The sequence below is a fragment of the Homo sapiens genome, chromosome 2, assembly GCF_000001405.40.
Source record: "Homo sapiens chromosome 2, GRCh38.p14 Primary Assembly".
Taxonomy (NCBI): Eukaryota; Metazoa; Chordata; class Mammalia; order Primates; family Hominidae; genus Homo; species Homo sapiens.
Window position 1 is genome coordinate 148,052,022 of NC_000002.12, and position 18,753 is coordinate 148,070,774.

The 18,753-nt window shown below is 34.6% G+C and overlaps 1 protein-coding gene and 1 long non-coding RNA gene across 25 annotated transcripts in view; one reads left to right on the forward strand and one right to left on the reverse strand.

The window, feature by feature from the left end:
• LOC105373673 (uncharacterized) overlaps window positions 1-16,338 on the reverse strand; it is a 34,765-nt gene extending 18,427 nt beyond the window's left edge. The window contains exon 1 of the long non-coding RNA XR_001739136.3: window positions 16,278-16,338. This is a non-coding gene — a long non-coding RNA (uncharacterized LOC105373673). The remainder of the gene's footprint in view (window positions 1-16,277) is intronic.
• Window positions 1-18,753, forward strand: part of MBD5 (methyl-CpG binding domain protein 5) — a 496,045-nt gene that overhangs the window by 31,095 nt on the left and 446,197 nt on the right. For 9 of the 24 annotated variants that reach the window (XM_047445058.1, XM_047445074.1, XM_047445079.1 and 6 more), the window contains one exon: window positions 2,370-2,428. The exons of the other annotated variants lie outside the window; for them this stretch is intronic. The gene's annotated coding sequence lies outside the window, so the exon portion shown is untranslated. The remainder of the gene's footprint in view (window positions 1-2,369; window positions 2,429-18,753) is intronic. 24 annotated transcript variants of the gene reach the window in all.

Sequence of the window (18,753 nt, forward strand, 5' to 3'; positions counted from 1 at the left end):
TTCCTAATTTTACCCTTCTCTCTTTTTTTTCTTGGGTAGTCTAGCTAAAGGTTTGTAAATTTTGTTGATTATTTTAAAGAACAAACTTTTGCTTTTGTGGGTTTATTTTTCTCTTTTGTTCTAGCCTCAGTTTTGTTATCTCTGTTGTAATGTTTATTTTCTTATGGTATAAGACTGTTATTGAGTTTTTTTTTTTTTTTTTTTTTGAGATGGAGTCTCACTCTTGTAGCCCAGGCTGGAGTGCAATGGTGCAATCTTGGCTCACTGCAACCTCTGCCTCCCAGGTTCAAGCAATTCCCCTGCCTCAGCCTCCTGAGTTGCTGGGATTACAGGCATGTGACACCACACCCAGCTAATTGTGTATTTTCAGTAGAGATGGGGTTTCTCTGTGTTGGTCAGGCTGGTCTCGAACTCTCGATCTCAGGTGATCCACCTGCCTTGGCCTCCCAAAGTGCTGGTGTTACAGGCCTGAGACACCATGCCCAGCAGAGATCTTTTTTATTGTGGGCATTTACAGCTATAAATTTCCCTCTTAGCACTGCTTTTTCTGCATACTATAAGTTTTCATATGTTATGTTTTCGTCTTAATTTATCTCAAAGTATATCTAACTTTCCTTCTGATTTGTTCTTTGACCTATTGATTATTTAGGAGTATGTTGTTGAATTTCCACATATTCATGAATTTTCCAAATTTCCTTCTATTAAATTCTCATTTCATTCCATACAGTCTGATAAACCCACTTTGTTTGGTTTCAAACTTTAAAAAATATATCGGTGTTTGTTTTCTATGCCATAAACATGTGACTTATCCTGGAAAATGCTGTGTATTTACTTTAGAAGAATGTGTATTCTGTCACTTGAGTCCAGGAGGCAGAAGTTGCAATGAGCCAATATCACATTACTGCACTCCAACCTGGGCGACAGACCCAAGAGTTCGTCTCAAAAAAAAAAAAAAAAAAAAGAGAGAGACAATGTGTATTCTACTTGGGGTGGAGTCTCCTATAGATGTCTATTAGTTTCTAGGATTGTTCAAGCCTTCTTTTTTCTTGCTCATCTTCTATTTAGATTTGTATGTTCATTATCAAAAGTGTAGTGTTGAAGATGCCAACTGTTATTGTTGAACTGTCTATTTCTCCTGCAATTCTGTGAGTTTTTGCTTTATGTATCTTGGGGCTGTATTGTTAGGTGCACATATGTTGATAACTGTTATATCTTCTTATTGAATTGACCCGTTTTTCATTATATGATGCACTTTTCTTTCATGACAGCTGTGTCTCAGTAGCACTGTTTTTACAAAATACTTTAGCATTTACATTTAAAGTTTTTTATTGCCTAATATTTAATACAAAATAAAATACACAACATGGTAAATTTTGAAGCTTAATAATAAAATAAATATCTATGAACCTGTAATACCATAATAATGAGAATATAAACATTTTATTATTCTGTGTTGCTCTCTTATCCTATCTGCTTGACTCCTCCCAGAGGTAACTACTAATGTGAATTTTGGGTTTAATCATCTCTTGCTTTTTAAAAAATAGTTATATAGTCTATTTATCTTTAACAGTATATTTAGTTTGGCCTGGTTATAAAATTTATACAAAGGAACTTACACCATATGCATTCTCTGGCTTATTTCACCCAGTATTATATTATTTGAGATTCATACATATGTTGGTGTTGGTGTGTGTACTTATAGTTTGCTCATGTTCATTGATTTGAAGCATTCTATTTAAATGTATTATAATTTATTTATCCATCCTACTAGTGATGGGTATTTGAGTTATTTCAAGTTTATTTATTTGCTGTTAGGAATACTGATCCAATGAAGTTTTTTTCTTTTCTCTTTTTTTCTTTGTATCATTTTATCTTTCTTTCTTTTTTTCTTTTTTTTTTTTTCTATGACAGGGTTTTGCTTTGTCATCCTGGCCAGAGTGCAGTGGCACAATCACAGCTCACTGCAACCTCGACCTCCTGGGCTCAAGTGATTCTCCCACCTCAGCCTGCTGAGTAGCTGGGACTACAGGTGGGCGCCACTACACCTGGCTTATTTTTAGTTTTTGTAGAGACAAGGCCTCCCTATGTTGCTCAGGCTGGTCTCAAACTCCTAAGCTCAAGGCGATCCTCCTGCCATGGCCTCCCAAAGTGCTGGGATTACAGACATGAGCCACTGTGCCCAGCGTGATCCAATGAACTTCTTTGATTATGTATAAATTCTCTTAGTTCATATGTTCAAGAATTACTCTGAGGCTACACTACTACAACAGTAGCCACTAGCCATACATCACGACTTACATTTAAATTTTATTTGATTTAAATGAAATTTTAAAAGTTAGTTATTTATCTCTTTTATTTGTGCTTAACAGCCCACATATGACAGTGGACATAGAGGACAACGCAGATATAGAACATTTCTTTTATCACAGTAAGTTCTTTGGATAACACTGCTCTAGAACAATACTTTCTAAAATGTGTCCCATGAATCACAGTGGTGATCCGTAAGCTGTCACTGGTCTGCAACAAAATAAGTACAAATATGGAGACTTTTTAGAACATTTTATGGCAACTTCACGTTGCTGCAACATCCAAGTACATGATCACTTTTACAGTCATTTTAGAAATTTAGTATTTTAGAATTTAGTAATTCATTTTCATTGTATTTTACATAAGTATTAATTAGCAAAAGATTAGAAAGAAAGAAAAACAAGAGTTTGCTCACAGTGAATACTTTGAGAAACACTACCCTTGGGTATGTTTAGGTGGAATTGCAAGATCACAGTGTATGCTTATGTTCAACTTTATTGGATAAATTCACTACGTTTTCCAAAATTATTGTGTCAATATTATATTCCCACCATCAGAGTATGAGAGTTTCCATTGTTTTGCTGTTTCTCTGTCCCTGGCTTTTGTGTCCCTCATTTTAGATTTAAATTTTGCCAGGTGATGGATGTGAAATGGCATCTTATAATTTTAATTTACAGTTCCCCAATTGCTAATGAGATAAATATATTTTTATATGTATATAATGCATTCATGATTCTACTTTAGATTCATAGGGATTCTTTTTATGTTCTGATACTGATCTGCTTCTTAAGTGTGTTGCTAATGTCTTCTCCAAATTTGTGATTTGTGTTGTCTTTGATAAATAGAAATAGTTAATTTTAACTTAGTAGAAATTTTCTTATTTTTGTATGTGTGTGTGCGTGTATTGTGTTTAAGGTCTCCTAGAATTCTTTTTTGTCTGTTTAAGTTTTAAAGCTTTATCTTTCACATTTAGGTCTTTATACCCATCTGCACCTTGATTAAATTTCCGTTCAGGGTTTGGGATAAGGATCTAATTATTTTTGCCTTCTTTGATTAACAATCCCTTCACTGCTTATTGAATAGGTTTTTCTTTTTTTTTTTTTTCTTTTTTTATTTTGAGACAGAGTCTTGCTCTGTCTTCCAGGCTGGAGTGCAGGAGTGCAGTGGTGCCATCGCTCCCTGCAACCTCCGCCTCCCGGGTTCAAGCGATTCTCCTGCCTCAGCCTTCTGAGTAACTGGGACTACATGCGCGTGCCACCACGCTCGGCTAATTTTTTGTATTTTTAGTAGAGATGGGGTTTCACTGTGTTATCCAGGATGGTCTCGATCTCCAGACCTCATGACCCGCCCGCCTCGGCCTTCCAAAGTGCTGGGATTACAGTCGTGTGCCACCGCGCTTGGCCGTTTATTGAATAGGTTTTTCTTTACCATTGATTTTCAGTGTCTCCTTGGTCTTATAATTGTATTTCCATATGTGTATGGGTCAGCTTCTGAACTCACTATTGTGTTGCATTGGTGAAGTAGTTCTGAATCTTCCCTTAATTGCTGTAAGTTTAGATAAGTCTTGGTAGTTGATAATGTAAGACATGTCACATAGTACTCTGTTAGAAATTTCATAATCAGTTTGGCATGTTCTATAAGAAATCTTGTGGGGATTTTGATGGAATTGATCTAATTATTATAATTTAATTTTATGTCCAAGACCATGGAATACCTCTCCTTATATTTTACTCTACTTTAACGTCTCTCAAAGTTTTGAAATCTTCCCTGTAACTTTCTTATGTGTAGTCTTGGTACTTTAAAATTCATTTTCTACCTCTTGCTTATATAAAGAAATGCAGTTGTCTTTTGTACATTTTTTTATATATTTGTTTAGAAAGCTTACTAAACATTCTTTTTAAATCTGATAACATATTTGTGGATTCTTGGGTATTTTTAAAAGAGATGATCATTCTCAGCAAATAATAATGCTTTTGTTTGTTCTTTTCCAAACCTTATGCCTTTTATTTCTTCTTTTGCTTTTTGTGGGCTAGAATCTACAGTGCTGATAATGAGCATTTTCTTGTAATGTTGCCAGTCATAAAAGGAATACGTTCCAGGTGTTACCTTTAATTATTACTCTTTTTTTCTTGTGGATGCCTTTTATTATATTTAGACAGCTCAAATTTTTGTATAAAAGTTTATATCACGCACAAATATTGAGTTATATTAAATGTGTTTATTGAGATGATAACTGTATAGTTTTTTCTCTTTTAATCTGTTAATGCAGTGAATTATATTTATATGATTTCCTAAATTTAACCAAAACAGACTTTGTCATGTTATCTTTTTTATACTTTCTGGATTAGTTTACAGATGTTTAGTTTTGGCATTTTGCATTTCTGTTTAGGAAGTGAGATTGGCCTGTAATTGCCCTTTTTAAAAAATGAGTCCATACGTTTTTTCTATTCTCTGGAAGTTTTGTATAAGATTAGAATTGTGTTTCTTGAATGCATAGTGAAATTCATCTATAACCTATTAAGGTTGCTTTTTGTGTGTGTGAGAGCATTTTTAACTTTTGATGTAATTTTTTTTTTAGTTGTCAAAGGATTATTTAGAGTCTCAGTTTATTCTTTAGATAATACATTGTATTTTTCTACGAATTCATCTAAGTCATCTGTGTTTTCACATTCATTGACATAAAGTTCTTAATATTCTCTTATTTGTTTAATGTATGCATTATTTGTTGTTTCATTTTAAATATTTAATATTTTTATTTATGCTTCTCTTGTTCTCGAATAACCCTGTAATAAGATTAGCAATTTTATTAATCTTTTTGAAAAGGAACCAGTTTTTTGTATTACTGTTATTTTCTATTGTGTGCTATTTACTATTCCATTTATTTTTGTAACTGTCTTTTCTGCCTTCTACATTTTAATTTTGCTTTATTCATTATGTATTCTGCTGACTTTTAACTTTTAAATTTATATACTTTCTCATTAATTTTCAGCCTTTTATCTTTTTAAACTTTAAGTACTTACGGCCATTAATTATCCTTTAAGTACTGCTTTAGCTATATTTCACAGGCTTTGTTATATAAGGTTTTTGTTTTTTTTAGTAAGTGTCTTCTAATTTCTATTGTGATTTTTTTTTCAGTGACTCCTGAGTTTTTTAGAAGTGTTTTTGCCCCAAGCCTGTGAGGATATCTTTTTTTATTATTGATTTCTATGTACATTTAATGGCATTGTGGTCATGGAATGTGGACTGTATGAAGACCTTGTTACTTAATTAGTAGAAAGATTATAATTCTTAGAAACCCATACTGCAATACTAGAATAAATTTTTTCCAATTTTAAATTCAATGTGCTAGAAAATCCCACAACAATATGCTTTAGGGTTTGTAATTTAACCAAATGAATTTGCAGTACTCTCATTACTTAGGTTTCTTCCTTTGAATCTGAGATCTTAAAGTTTAGCAGCTGCATGAAGAGCATGTCCACAAAATTCTTTTCTTAGTTAAAAAAAATAAAGTTAGATTCTAAAAACTTACTGAGTTGTTGTTGTTTTATTGCTGCTTTGTAATTTGTTTGCTTTTGTTTTCTGGGTCATGCAATAAGCACTAGTGTAAATCTGGTTCAAGTTTATTGATTTTAAAGAACAGATATTAAAATCTTCAATGTGATTCATAGTTTATTCCAGAATACATTACATCAAGAATGATGTTTTTTACCCTGTACATTTCAATACTTTAAACATCGCAATGAATACTGTTTTTATAGTGCTGTTTTTCAAAATTTCTCACCTCCCTACCCTTTACTTCATTTGGGGTCTGCATTTTCTTTGTATTTCCCCTTGCCCTTACTTTCTTCTTATAATACGTATTACATTTCTGTAGCATTTAAACTTTTGATGAATACTTTCCCCTGGTACTATTTCTTGGATACTCACAGAAACCCTACAAATTAAGTAATGTCCATCTTTTCCAGATAGTGAATCCAGTACTGAAATGTTAAATTAATTGTTCAATATTCCTTAGCTAGTAAGTGGGAAGAGCCAGAATTCAAACCTATCTCATCGCTTTATACTTAAATTTTTTTTCTATCGGTCTTTTTTCAGTATTTGCGATTTTATTAAGAAGGAAGTTTAGACCATGGGTGGCTTAACATGCCCTAATAGGTGAATTTTTTTTTGGCTTTCCAGATGGCTTTTATTTATTTGCATTGCAAATGCTTTTTTTTTAAAAAGAGATTTTCTGAGGCTCTTAGTTGTTTACTACTTAATATTCTCCACTGTCATTTCTCTTTAATGACTTCATTAAAAATAATTGAGCAAAGTGTTATAAAGTTTGATTCTATCTCCTAACATATTTTTCCATTATTGCTAACTACTATGTAGGACAGAAAAAATGCTTGAAGTTTCCTCAAATAGATTTTATTATTTAATTCTGTCTGACTTTAAAAGATTTGCTTCAAAAATGTCTGTTAAGCAAAAAGTATGCTTGAATTACTAATTTAAACACTTCCTGCCAGAATGCATTTTTTTGCGTATTAAACATGGCATTCCAGAAGAACATAGTGGCCTTATATGAGCTTGGTCAGAACTTCTTTTGGCTATCTGAATTTGTAAATTGTCATTGGAACACAATGAAAGTGTTTTATGAAGTGTATTTGATGGATAAGTGAGTAAATCAATGAAAAGCTTGCACATAGTTTTTTTTACAATAACTACTTACTTGAATGTGTACCTTTGTGATGTTGCTGATATTTTAGAGGTAACAACAGAACAAAGACTTCTAGATGAAGAACACTGACAAGAACTTTGTATAAATTGTTTATTGTGATATTTGCTTATATTAAAAGTCATGTATCTATTTCTGTAATTTGCAGATAGTCTAACATCATTTATAAATATTTAACTGAAGAGTTGGCAATGGCTTTTTTAATATGAAAATATTTTCAAATGTGTGAAAGCCGGTTCTGACAATTAAAAAAAAAAGTTTTCTATTTAGTTTCTACACATACAATAAATATACACACTTGGTAATTTTGTACTGGTAACCCGTAAAGAATTTTCCTGTCCTATTGCGGTTACCGTTACTGTTAAGTTTGCATACAGTAAAACAATTTTACCTTAATGCATTAGTTTATTGGAAATTTACTGTTAGCTATGTAAATATACTAGCATAATTAAAATGTTATTTGATAATCTGAATGTAAATACACTTAAAAATTACTTTTCAATTAAGAAATGTCGAAGGAGGCCGGGCGCGGTGGTTCATGCCTGTAATCCCAGCACTTTGGGAGGCCGAGGCGGGCGGATCACGAGGTCAGGAGATCGAGACCATCCTGGCTAACACGGAGAAACCCCGTCTCTACTAAAAATACAAAAAATTAGCCGGGCGTGTGGCGGGCACCTGTAGTCCCAGCTACTTGGGAGGCTGAGGCAGGAGAATGGCGTGAACCCGGGAGGCGGAGCTTGCAGTGAGCCAAGATCGCGCCACTGCACCCCAGCCTGGGAGACAGAGCGAGACTCCGTCTCAAAAAAAAAAAAAAGACAAAGGAAATTCTTCTAGTTCCTTTAAGGATTTCTCTAGCACAGGATCAGAGAGGATCTTGGTTATTGGTGACTGGTGAGATTCTGTTGGGTGTTTGGAAGCTTCAAATGCATGGAGCCACCCCTTAAAAATGTCTCACTGGAGGCAGGCACGGTGGCTTATGCCTGTAATCCCAGCATTTTAGGAGGCCGAAGCAGGTGGATGGCTTGAGTATATATACTTCGCGAGCACCGTGGGCAACATAGTGAAACCCTGTCTCTACAAAAAGTGCAAAAAAAAAAAAAAAAAAAAAAAAAAAAAAGCCAGGCATGGTGGTGCAGGCCTATAGTCCCAGATATTTGGGAGGCCATGGTGGGAGGATTGCTTGAACCTGTGAGGTCAAGGCTGCGATGAGCTTTGAACACACCCATTGCACTCCAGCCTGGATGACAGAGTGAGACCCTGTCTCAAAGAAAAAGGAAAAGAAAAGTCTCACTGGAGAGGCATACTTTATATATCTTTTAATTGTATGTTTTGTAAAAAAAAAAAGAACAAATTTTATCATACATTCTTGTGACACTTGATAAATTTTCACCATGTTTCCTTACCACAATAGTGAAGGTTAATTGTATTTGTCTGCTTGCATGTTGCATACACTGTAAACTGATTATTTCAGGACTTAACTGAGGCATGGACTGTTCTCACATATTCCAAAATATAGTGACATTTTTAAACTTGAAAGATATTTACTTGTTTTTAGTATTCTTAAGAATGCCCAGAATTTTGTTACAGAATTAAACAGAAGACTTCACAGGAGAATTGGAAAAAGCAATTACTTTCAAGTTTCCTTTTTTTATAGTGATTGATAGGGTATGATTATTTTGTTCTATAAATATATTTTTGCCATTTCTCCCTAAATGCCTTACTTTAGTCAAATCATATCTATGATTTTTACCATTCTTCACAGAGATATTTCAGAATTAGAGATAATTCTGCTGTTTATCTCATTGCCTGACCATTTCACTATCTGTTCATTGGCTAACCAAAGAGGCTCTATATGTTTCCAGTAAGATTGTTAAAAAGTTAGATAGGACTAATTCTGGTGCTGATGCTATTTATCTCTTGTTTTATTCTTCATATTCTTTCTCATACATTTTCTTCTCCATTGTAAAAAGTTTTCCCAATCCCAGAATGACTCATTTTTTGAAATAGTTTTTGCGGTTTAATTTTGCCAAGGTATTTAAAAATCAAATACTAATAATTATTACTGATTTTTTATTTTTTTGAGTTTATAATCAAAGAGGATTTTATTTTGATCGTTATTCCTTTACAAAGTGTTCTTCCCCTGTATCATAACCCTGCTTTGCTGTTCGTGATGTTAAGTCTCACTGATAGGTAAGATTATTGTAATTATCAGTAATTGGTAATAGCATTCAAATGATCAGTCGCTCAGTGGCCATTTCTTTTTTTCTTTTAGTGTTTCTCTTTTTAAGTCCACTTTATGCTTACTTTAGCAAATCTAGGAAATATTTAAAATTAGAAGAGTTTGGCACATTTGTCTTTCCTCTACCCTTCCCCCAACTCTTTCCCTCTACATAATTGACATCATATTGTGCATCTAGTTTTTCTTACTCATTGAAAAAGGGAAATCTACCATATCATAAATATGTTTTCATATTATTAAAAATTGTCAAATGTAATATTCCTTTATATGTGTACATCATAATTAGCCATTCCCTTAATGTTGGGCCTTAGGTTGTTTACAGTATTTCATTATTATATTACAGCAGTGAGTGTGTGTGTGTGTGTCATCTGTGTGTGTAATACTTTGTCAACATCTCTATTTCCAAAGACTAGAATTCTTGAAAATGAAATTCTTGAATCAGTCTATGAAAACTTTTAAAGCTATTGATTCATATCATAAACATAATTTTTAAGAAAAGTGAAGTTGATTTATATATCCTAGCTGGCAGTATATCACAATATCTAGACTGTATCTTTAGAAAGCTTTAGATTTTCTCCTCTTTAAAATCTTTAATTTTTTCAGGTCCTCAGGATTTTAAATATTTCCCATGGGTTTTTTTTTTCCGTTTTTATTTCCTTTTGTTTGAGTAAAATATATATTCATGTACCTTTTCTTTACATCTATAGAGGGCTTACTTTTTTATTCATAAATATGTAAGGATGTATTTTATAGTATGCATAGTAACATTGCATTGTCATGATGTCTGAAAATATTTTCCCATTTTGTTTACATATTAGATTGAAAGCAGAATTATTATAGAATTGCTCAACTAATTCTCTTTTTGTTGCCATCTTAACCTTAAGATGAATAGATGTAACCATATGGATATACATACATGTATGTATATACATGTATCATTTTAGCTTTTTTTTTCTGTCAGAGGAAAGCTGCAACATACTAAAGTTTGACAGTAATCCCTAGAATCTTAATTTGTAAAAAGTAAAAAACTACAAGGTTTCTACTTTCAAAACAGTTATAGTCTTTACTCAAAATGTAAATTAATAAATGTATAAAGTTTGTAATAGTATAATAATGTATAATAATAGTATAAATGAAGTTGCATAACCTGCTTTTAAAATGTGTGTAATTTTATGTATTTGACAACTTAAGCATGATAAACACTTAACTGTTTATATTCTACAAGCTCAGTGTAATGTAAAAAATTTGCTAAAGTCATTTTGTTTTAACTTCAAGTAAACAATGTTTTCTGAATTTTTTTTGGCATATGTGTGATTACTGTTACAGGTGATTAAATATCTTGTTTGAACTTTGGTTTAGGAAGTTTTAATAATTAATAGTATTTGAATCATAAAATCACTCCTGAGTTTCATTAACCATGGTGGTATGATTCTTTGGATGTTATTTCTCTTTTCTTTGCCAACATACTGTTTTATGGATTTCTCAGGTTTTACTGTTGTATTTACAACTCTAAAAGTAAGAAAAAAATCACACTCTTTTTCTAGAAAGTTTCTTAAATGCATATAGTGGTATTAACCAAATATAAATGCAGTCACTTATATTTCTTACATAGCTATAACCACCATCCTCATTAACACAATAAAGTACAACCAAGACGAAAAATAATTACAAATTATCTTGGAGAATGTCAAAATTTCTCAGCACATATTTGCGGATTCCTTGAGATCTATGACCCAGTTTGTTAAACAGTTCACTTAACCACTTTATGTTTTAGTATTCAAATAAAAACATTGCTAATAATGATATCTCCTCTTGCGTACTAATTAATAAAGAAAAACTACAAATGTTTTTCAATAAAGTTGAGGTACATGTTACTTTTATAATTTCCTTTAGGAGTTGTGGGTGGGTTGAGTACCAATGCAGCTTCATCACAATTTAAGTCATTAGTTTTGAATTTGTCTTTCCTGTGATTTCAGGATCTTTACTCATTTATTGTCTTCATTTTAGTATAATTTGCTTTTGAAAAACATCCAAATTTTAATTGATGCAAGAAATTGAAATAAAATAAATGGCAGGGATAGAAGTTGGGGATCGTTAGGGTTCTTTCCAGATTGTGTTACTCTAATGCAAGTGTCAGCACACTTTTTCTGTAAAAGGCCAGATAGTAAATATTTAGGCCTTAGGAACCTGGCTCAACTCTGCTTTTTTAGTGCAAAAGCAGCCATTGACAATACATAAATGAATGAGCATTGCTATTTTCCAAGAAAACTTTTTTTTTTTTAATACAAAAACAGGCAGCAGGTCTTAGTTTGCTGACTCCTGTGCTACACATATTTTGGATGACACTGCCTATGTGAACAAGGGCTCACTTATTTATTTTTTTAAGTGGAGATCTTAATGGCCTCTCTATTGGTGGCCTTTCCCACCACTGTACAATTTACACGTCCTGAAAAGCCTGTTAATATACCAGTTATAATATTGCTGTTTTCTTATTTTCCAATATCTAAGCCCTTTGACCTGTGGACTCTGCCCAACCTGTTCCTGAGCCAAGGTATTTAATAATCCTATTCTTGGATGGGGATTAATCTGTCTTTTTAGTCCAGTAATCACGTGCCTATATTGAGTCCATAAGTGCCAACAAGCTCTAGTTTTCTCCTACCATTGCCACCCTGTTTGCTCAGATTGAAGATTGATAATATGTCTAATACTAGCAAACTTGTTTCTCCTGGGTTCTGGTGGGACTATAGCTTCTTACACCCAAGCAGGGAGTCTTTATGCTCTTGCTCTTTCATATATAGGGTGAATCTAAAGGAAACATACTATTCCCACCAGCTGTCTTTTTTCTTTTTTTTTTTTTTTGAGACAGAGCCTCGCTCTGTCGCCCAGGCTGGAGTGCAGTGGCGCGATCTCAGCTCACTGCAAGCTCCGCCTCCCGGGTTCACGCCATTCTCCCGCCTAGTAGCTGGGACCACAGGTGCCCGCCACCACGCCCGGCTAATTTTTTGTATTTTTAGTAGAGACGGGGTTTCTCCGTGTTAGCCAGGATGGTCTCGATCTCCTGACCTCGTGATCCCCTCGCCTCGGCCTCCCAAAGTGCTGGGACCACAGGCGTGAGCCACCGCGCCCGGCCCCCACCAGCTGTCTTTAAGTACCGCCACTACACAAAGATTCTTTCCATAGTGTGCCTTCTACCAGATGAGATTATCTAGAAACTGGTAGTAGCCTGGATCAAAGCTATATTCTTCTTCATAACCCCTTGAATACTCTAATTTGGCTGCTAGATACCTTTCTTTGAGGCAAACCGATTCTCCCAGCCCCAACCCTGCCTATTCCCAGCTATTAATTATTTTGCCTAGGGCCCATCAGTCCTTACACCTGAAATCAATCTTCTCTTACTCAAGACACAAACAAATTAAAGGAGCAATAACTTTAAGATAACTTCCTGAAAAATAATTGGAGGCTTTATATTGGCTCATTTTCTTCCCCTTCATTGTTTCTTACTTTCTTCCTTACCTTTCTTCTTTCCTTCTTTTATTTCTTTAGTAATTGATGTATGAAAAACAGAATAATTACAATCTTGACCGTTCTTTCTTATATATAGCCCACTACTTTTATATTAATGTATTTCTGATAACATACCTGAGAGCTGAAATTATGTATTACAGTCACTTCCTAAAATTATGGTTCCTGCTTGTGTCCTACTTCTTTCAGGCCCCATACACCAGTAGTCAGGGGAGATTCTTCCCTGCTTTGGAGTCTGATAGAGATGGAGTTGCACAGCCAGCATCCGGAGATAATAAATTTAGAATTACCACTTTCTAAAAGGAAGATTAGGGGTTTGATAGCTGCCGACTTTATCCACAGTCTTAAATATGTAAGCCCAACCTGCTTGGGTAGTACTCAGGGAAAGGCAGACCATTTCTGCTTTCCTCTGGACCATGTATCAAGAGGGACCTAGCAGATCTTTTTTCAGTCTTTGTGATGAGCCTCTCCTGTCTTCAAATAGCCTGGTATTTTCCAGCGTTGTTAAGGTAGGAGGGGGAGGAACGTTTTGTGAGAACAGCTTTAAGATTGGAGGAGGCTGGACCAGTAGACCTGTGTGAACCATAGGTTCAGTTAAGAGAGCAAACCCATGAGTTTGTGAGATGCTTCTGTGTTCTCCTAGCTTGTGAGCATGCTCTGTTGTGTGGCGGAAACCAGACTATTTCCTTTAACAGTAACAGCTCAGAGGCAGTATTATGAGCATTTGAAATCATCATTCAACAAAATATGTCAAAAAAATCAAACTCAGAAAAGGAAATTAATATAGGATATCATAGTTTAATGAAAGATCATATGAGTTGCTTCAAAGTTGAATGTGTTGAAGTTAATGACTGCCTATCAGGTAAACCATAGATGACATGGAAAGTAGGGAATAGGAACATCACAAAATAAAATGCTGAAGTTTGATATTCTGTGAATTATAGACTTTTCAGTAGGAAACACTTAAACTCTGAGCCTTATGTGAACTTTCTTAAAGATAGGAAGATTATTTATGTTCATTGCCTGGAATATATACAAAACAAAGCTAAAAAGATGAACTCAGCATTTAGTTGATGTGTAGTTAATAAGACATATCTGTAATTTGTATGTTCCAAAATTAAGCTTATGCTATTTTAAGGTTTCGGGTTGAGGAGGAGACAAGGGACATTTCTAGCTTTATTTTCACTGGGTAGATTTATAAGCATTAATTTTAAATGCCATTGTTGGGCCAGGCACGGTGGTTTCCACCTGTAATCCCAGCACTTAAGGAGGCAAAGGGAGGAGGATCAAGACAAGCCTGGGCAATATTATAGTGAGACTTCATGTCTCCAAAAATTTTTTTTAAAAAAATGAGCCGAGCATGGTGTTGTGCGCCTGTCATCGCAGCTACTTGGAAGGCTGAGGTGGGAGGATCCCTTGAGCCCAGGAGGCGGAGGTTGTAGTGAGCTGAGATCACACCACTACACTCCAAATCCAGCCTGGGTGACAAAGCAAGACCCTGTCTCAGTCAGTCAGTCAATCAATCAATAATAAATGTATACCATTGTTTTACTAGGTAAATATTTTATATTTATCTCCTGATGAAGCCTCATTTTTTCTTACTTCCTCACTATAGTATTTAGTGTTTTCTTCAGCAGTACTAAACTATATTTAGATCTACCGCATATACCATTTTTTTCTTTTTTTTTTTTTTTTGTTGAGACAGAGTCTCGCTGTGTCACCCAGGCTGGAGTGCAATGGCATAATCTCAGCTCACTGCAACCTCCACCTCCCAGTTTTTCCTGTCTCAGCCTCCTGAATAGCTGGGAGTATAGGTGCACGCCACCATGCCCGGCTAATTTTTTGTATTTTAACAGAGATGGATTTTCACTGTGTTGCCTAGCCTGGTCTTGAACTCCTGAGCTCAGGCAATCCACCTGCCTTGGCCTCCCAAAGTGCTGGGATTATAGGCAAGAGCCACTGTGCCCAGCTACCATGTTTTTTTCACCTCAGCACCTTTGCTCAAGCTCTTTCTTCAATGCAGAATGTACTTCATTTACCTGCGTTTGTCTCATTCTAACTTAAGACTTGGCCTAGACATCCTGTCAGAAAGACTTCTTTTCTCATTCTTTAGTGCACCCACCCAATTTTGTACTCTCTGTCATTGTATTAGAATTTTGAGAGAACACCTGGAAAGCAAAAGTGATGTTCCCAGTACCTACCACAGAGCATGGCACATAGAGATATTCAGTAAGTATTTGTTGAACTGAGTGTAGATTTAAGGTTAGCTATGTCCATTCTGGTTAATGCTAAGAAACACTAATTGATGTTGATAAAAGTTTTGGTTATGTAGGTAATAGCTGTGCAAAATAGAATGCAAAAGTACAGTCTCTGAATGTTCATCAATTCAGCAGTTCTATTGAACACCCACTCTGAACCACACGCTATATTAGACATTGAAATGTCTATGATCTTTAAATGTGTCTACATCAAAGAACCATTTTGAACTCCAATTAACAGCCACTCAGCAATTGTTAGTGACAATAATAACTACGATATTTTTGTCATAATTGATTTTCTTTACAAATTATCGTTAGACATAGAGCAAGCTAAACAAAACTTTAAGATTTTAGTAAACATTTTATTTGCCAAGACATAAAATTTTCTTAAGTTCTGATACCTCTAAAGCTGAAGAGGTAAATCTGTATTTTATAGATTCATTCTAGATGAATTATTTAAATAAAATAGTCTAGGACCTCACTCTACTTGCTTACAAAATAAAAACAATACATTTAGATCTATTTTTATTAAACTGCTACCTAGAATTAAAGCAAGTAGAAATAAGATGTTGTTCAGAGTTACAAGAAAATTTTCTTCGATTCATTTCCCTTGTCTTACATTATCCCCAGCCTCCTATTCTCACCCTACCCTCAGCCCCATCCCCTAAGCTGGCTTCTAACATCTCATAGTAACTGAATGGTCATTCTTACCTCAACTCTTAACCAGTGCTATAAGAAAGTATATTGCCCTGTGTGGGCAAAAGTTTTAACAAACTCTTTTCCTTCAGCATGAGAATTTGACCTTCTTTTAACTCTAGCTCTGTTTCCTTGGTAATCTGATAAGGGTAGTATGTCAACTGTGTTAATAGACAACATTGCTTATGGTAGAAATAACCCCTAATTGGTAAGCTTCATCTGAACTGGTAGCACTACAAACACCTGGCAGGAAGCCATATCTTTGGGTCTCTCTGTATGTGGTGACTTATAAGTGGACATGTCCCTTGATTCTGGCAGCTGTGGCCATTGAGTTGTTACAAGAAATATTGGCTCTGGTGGGGCATGAAGCCTCTAGGTCAGTGCAGCTCCCTCACCTGCTTGATGTAAATCTCAAGTTGTACCTAAGCTGCGATCTAAGAGGCCAGGAAAAAAAAGCTCCTAGATAGCTATGTGAACCACTACATGGAACCTGCAGAGACTCCTGCAGAAGAGGAATACCTGATTCTGCCCTACTCACATGCATTAGTTCTTGTCCTGTAATATTCTGGGTGGACAGGTGCTCAGGATGGCCTATGGTTGTCCCGTGAATTTGCACATTCAGTTGAACCTAAGGAGACCTCTTAGTGGGCATTGAAGATCTGACTACCTTTTGTTTCTTGGATCTTACTGAGAGAGAAATGTAATGAAAGAATGGAAGCAAAGATTTTTGATTGGTTATTTCACAGTGATGCTGTCTCTGTGTCATAGTACCCATATGTTCTGAATCTAAGAGCTCTTGTCACACAGGATTGTTGAAGGAATACTTCCAGCAGGTAACTTCTGTGGCAAAAAGTCTGGTGTGGCTGTACACTACAGTATTTGTGCATTCATCAAATATTCTCCTGATCATGTATTGATAGGTTCCTTTTTTCTGTTTTTATGTTTTAGAGACTATCTTAAGAAGTCAGGAGGTGACTGGTGATAATTGTAACTAATTAGCACTTAGTGGATACATTATTTCACTCTTCACTATATTATTGTTCTCTGTATCATGTTGATAAGATTCTTCTAATTTTACTAATAATTTGATTCTTTTGTTTAAGATTGGACCTTTAAGGTCATTTATAAGGAAGCTATTCAGTCCTTGATTATAATTTTAAGTAATGCATTATAACCAATAGGTGAGAGAAAATATCACAGTTTTTTAATAATTGAAAAACACTTAGACTAAAACCAGTTTTTCTAGTAGTACAGGATTCATTCATTTAAATTTTTGTCTGTGTTACAGAAACAATGTGTCTTCTCTTTTGGAAAATTAAAATGTATGGATACATGAGAAAAAAAATTCAGAATATCTGATTCCCTTACTCAGAGATACCCAGTGTTAGCAAGCATGTTTTGCATTCCAAACCTTTTGTTACTCTGTGTGTATAAATGGAGAGAAAGGTGAGGGGGAGCAAGTAAGACAGAGGAGGGATGTGTTTATTTATATTATTTTTGTAATGGGATCAAAATGTGCATACTGTTGTGAATCTTTTTTTCACTTGATCCATCTTGAATTTATTTTTATGTCAATACATATTCATCAACATTGTTTTAAAATACAGAATAGAAACTAAATGGAAGTATCATAATTTATTTGATCAATCCACTATTGTTGGCATTCATAGTTTTTTTTTAATGATAGGAATCTCTCTTCAACAGCTCACAATAAATGATCATACAGCTATTGCTTTTTTCTAGATTTAACATTTATATTAAATATCATCTTATAGTATGCTACTGTATTTAGAAGCTATGTCACAATGCTGGGTAATAAGGAGTTTGTGGGGAACTAGAGCAGGCAGTTTTTGTCTATACAAGCCGCTGTTAAACCACTTTTCCCTGACCTTTTTAATGTCTTAATTAATTAATTAATTAATTAAAATACTGAGTAAAAGCAAAGGACAAAGGTGGACTCTCCCTGAACACCTCTCTTTACATTGGCATAGCACTCTACTTTGAGAAGCAAGATTGTTAAGCCATTGGTGATTCTTTTTTAATTTTTTAAAGTGATACACAATATTTGTACCTTTTTATGGGTTACAAGTGGTATTTTTTTACATACATAGACAGTGTAATGATTAAGTCAGGGTATTCAGTTTAGCCATCATCTTGAGTAGTTATCATGTCAATGTGTGGGGAACATTTCAAGTCCTCTCTTCAAGCTATTTTGAAATATGCAATAATTGTTGTTAACTGTAGTCACCCTGTTCGGCTGTGGACATTGGAATGTATTCCTTCTATCCAGCTGTATGTTAAGGCCCATTTACCAGCCTCTCTTCATCCTCTCCATTCCCCCACCACAAACAGCCTACTTAGCCTCTGGTTACTATCATTCTACTCTCTACCTCCATGAGGTCAACTTTTTTAGCTCCCACATATGACTGAGAGCATGTCATGTTTCTCTTTCTGTTCCTGGCTTACTTCACTTAACATAATAACCTCCAGTTCTATCCATGTTGCTGCAAATGACAGGATTTCATTCTTTTTTATGCCAAGTAGTATTTTATCATTGGTGCTATGTGATAGTAGACATTTAGTGATTTGATATTGGTAGCATGTTTGCTACTAGTAGGGCAGAGAGCTAATCCCTACTATTTTTTCCAAAAATATTACAACCATTGTTAAAACATAAATCATTAAGAGAGCCACTATAAAAATAAGTTTAAAAAATTCTCAGGCAAAATGACCATTTTGTTTTTATCATGGTGGTACCAAGATTACTTAATAGAGAAATTGGTAGGATAGAGGGTATAAAACTCTGAGGGCCATATCTCCAGTTTATATTTCACTGTTTTGTCCAAAGGTATATGTTGGAAATCCTTGGTTCATTGCTTTGTTAAACTTCATGCCATTCTGATACTACCTGGCACATTTTAGGTTTTTAGAATTATAGAAAAGCCTGGCAACTTCTCTAGTGTGAAAGTTGAAAATGCAGAAATAACATTAAACAGGATCTTAATACTATTTTA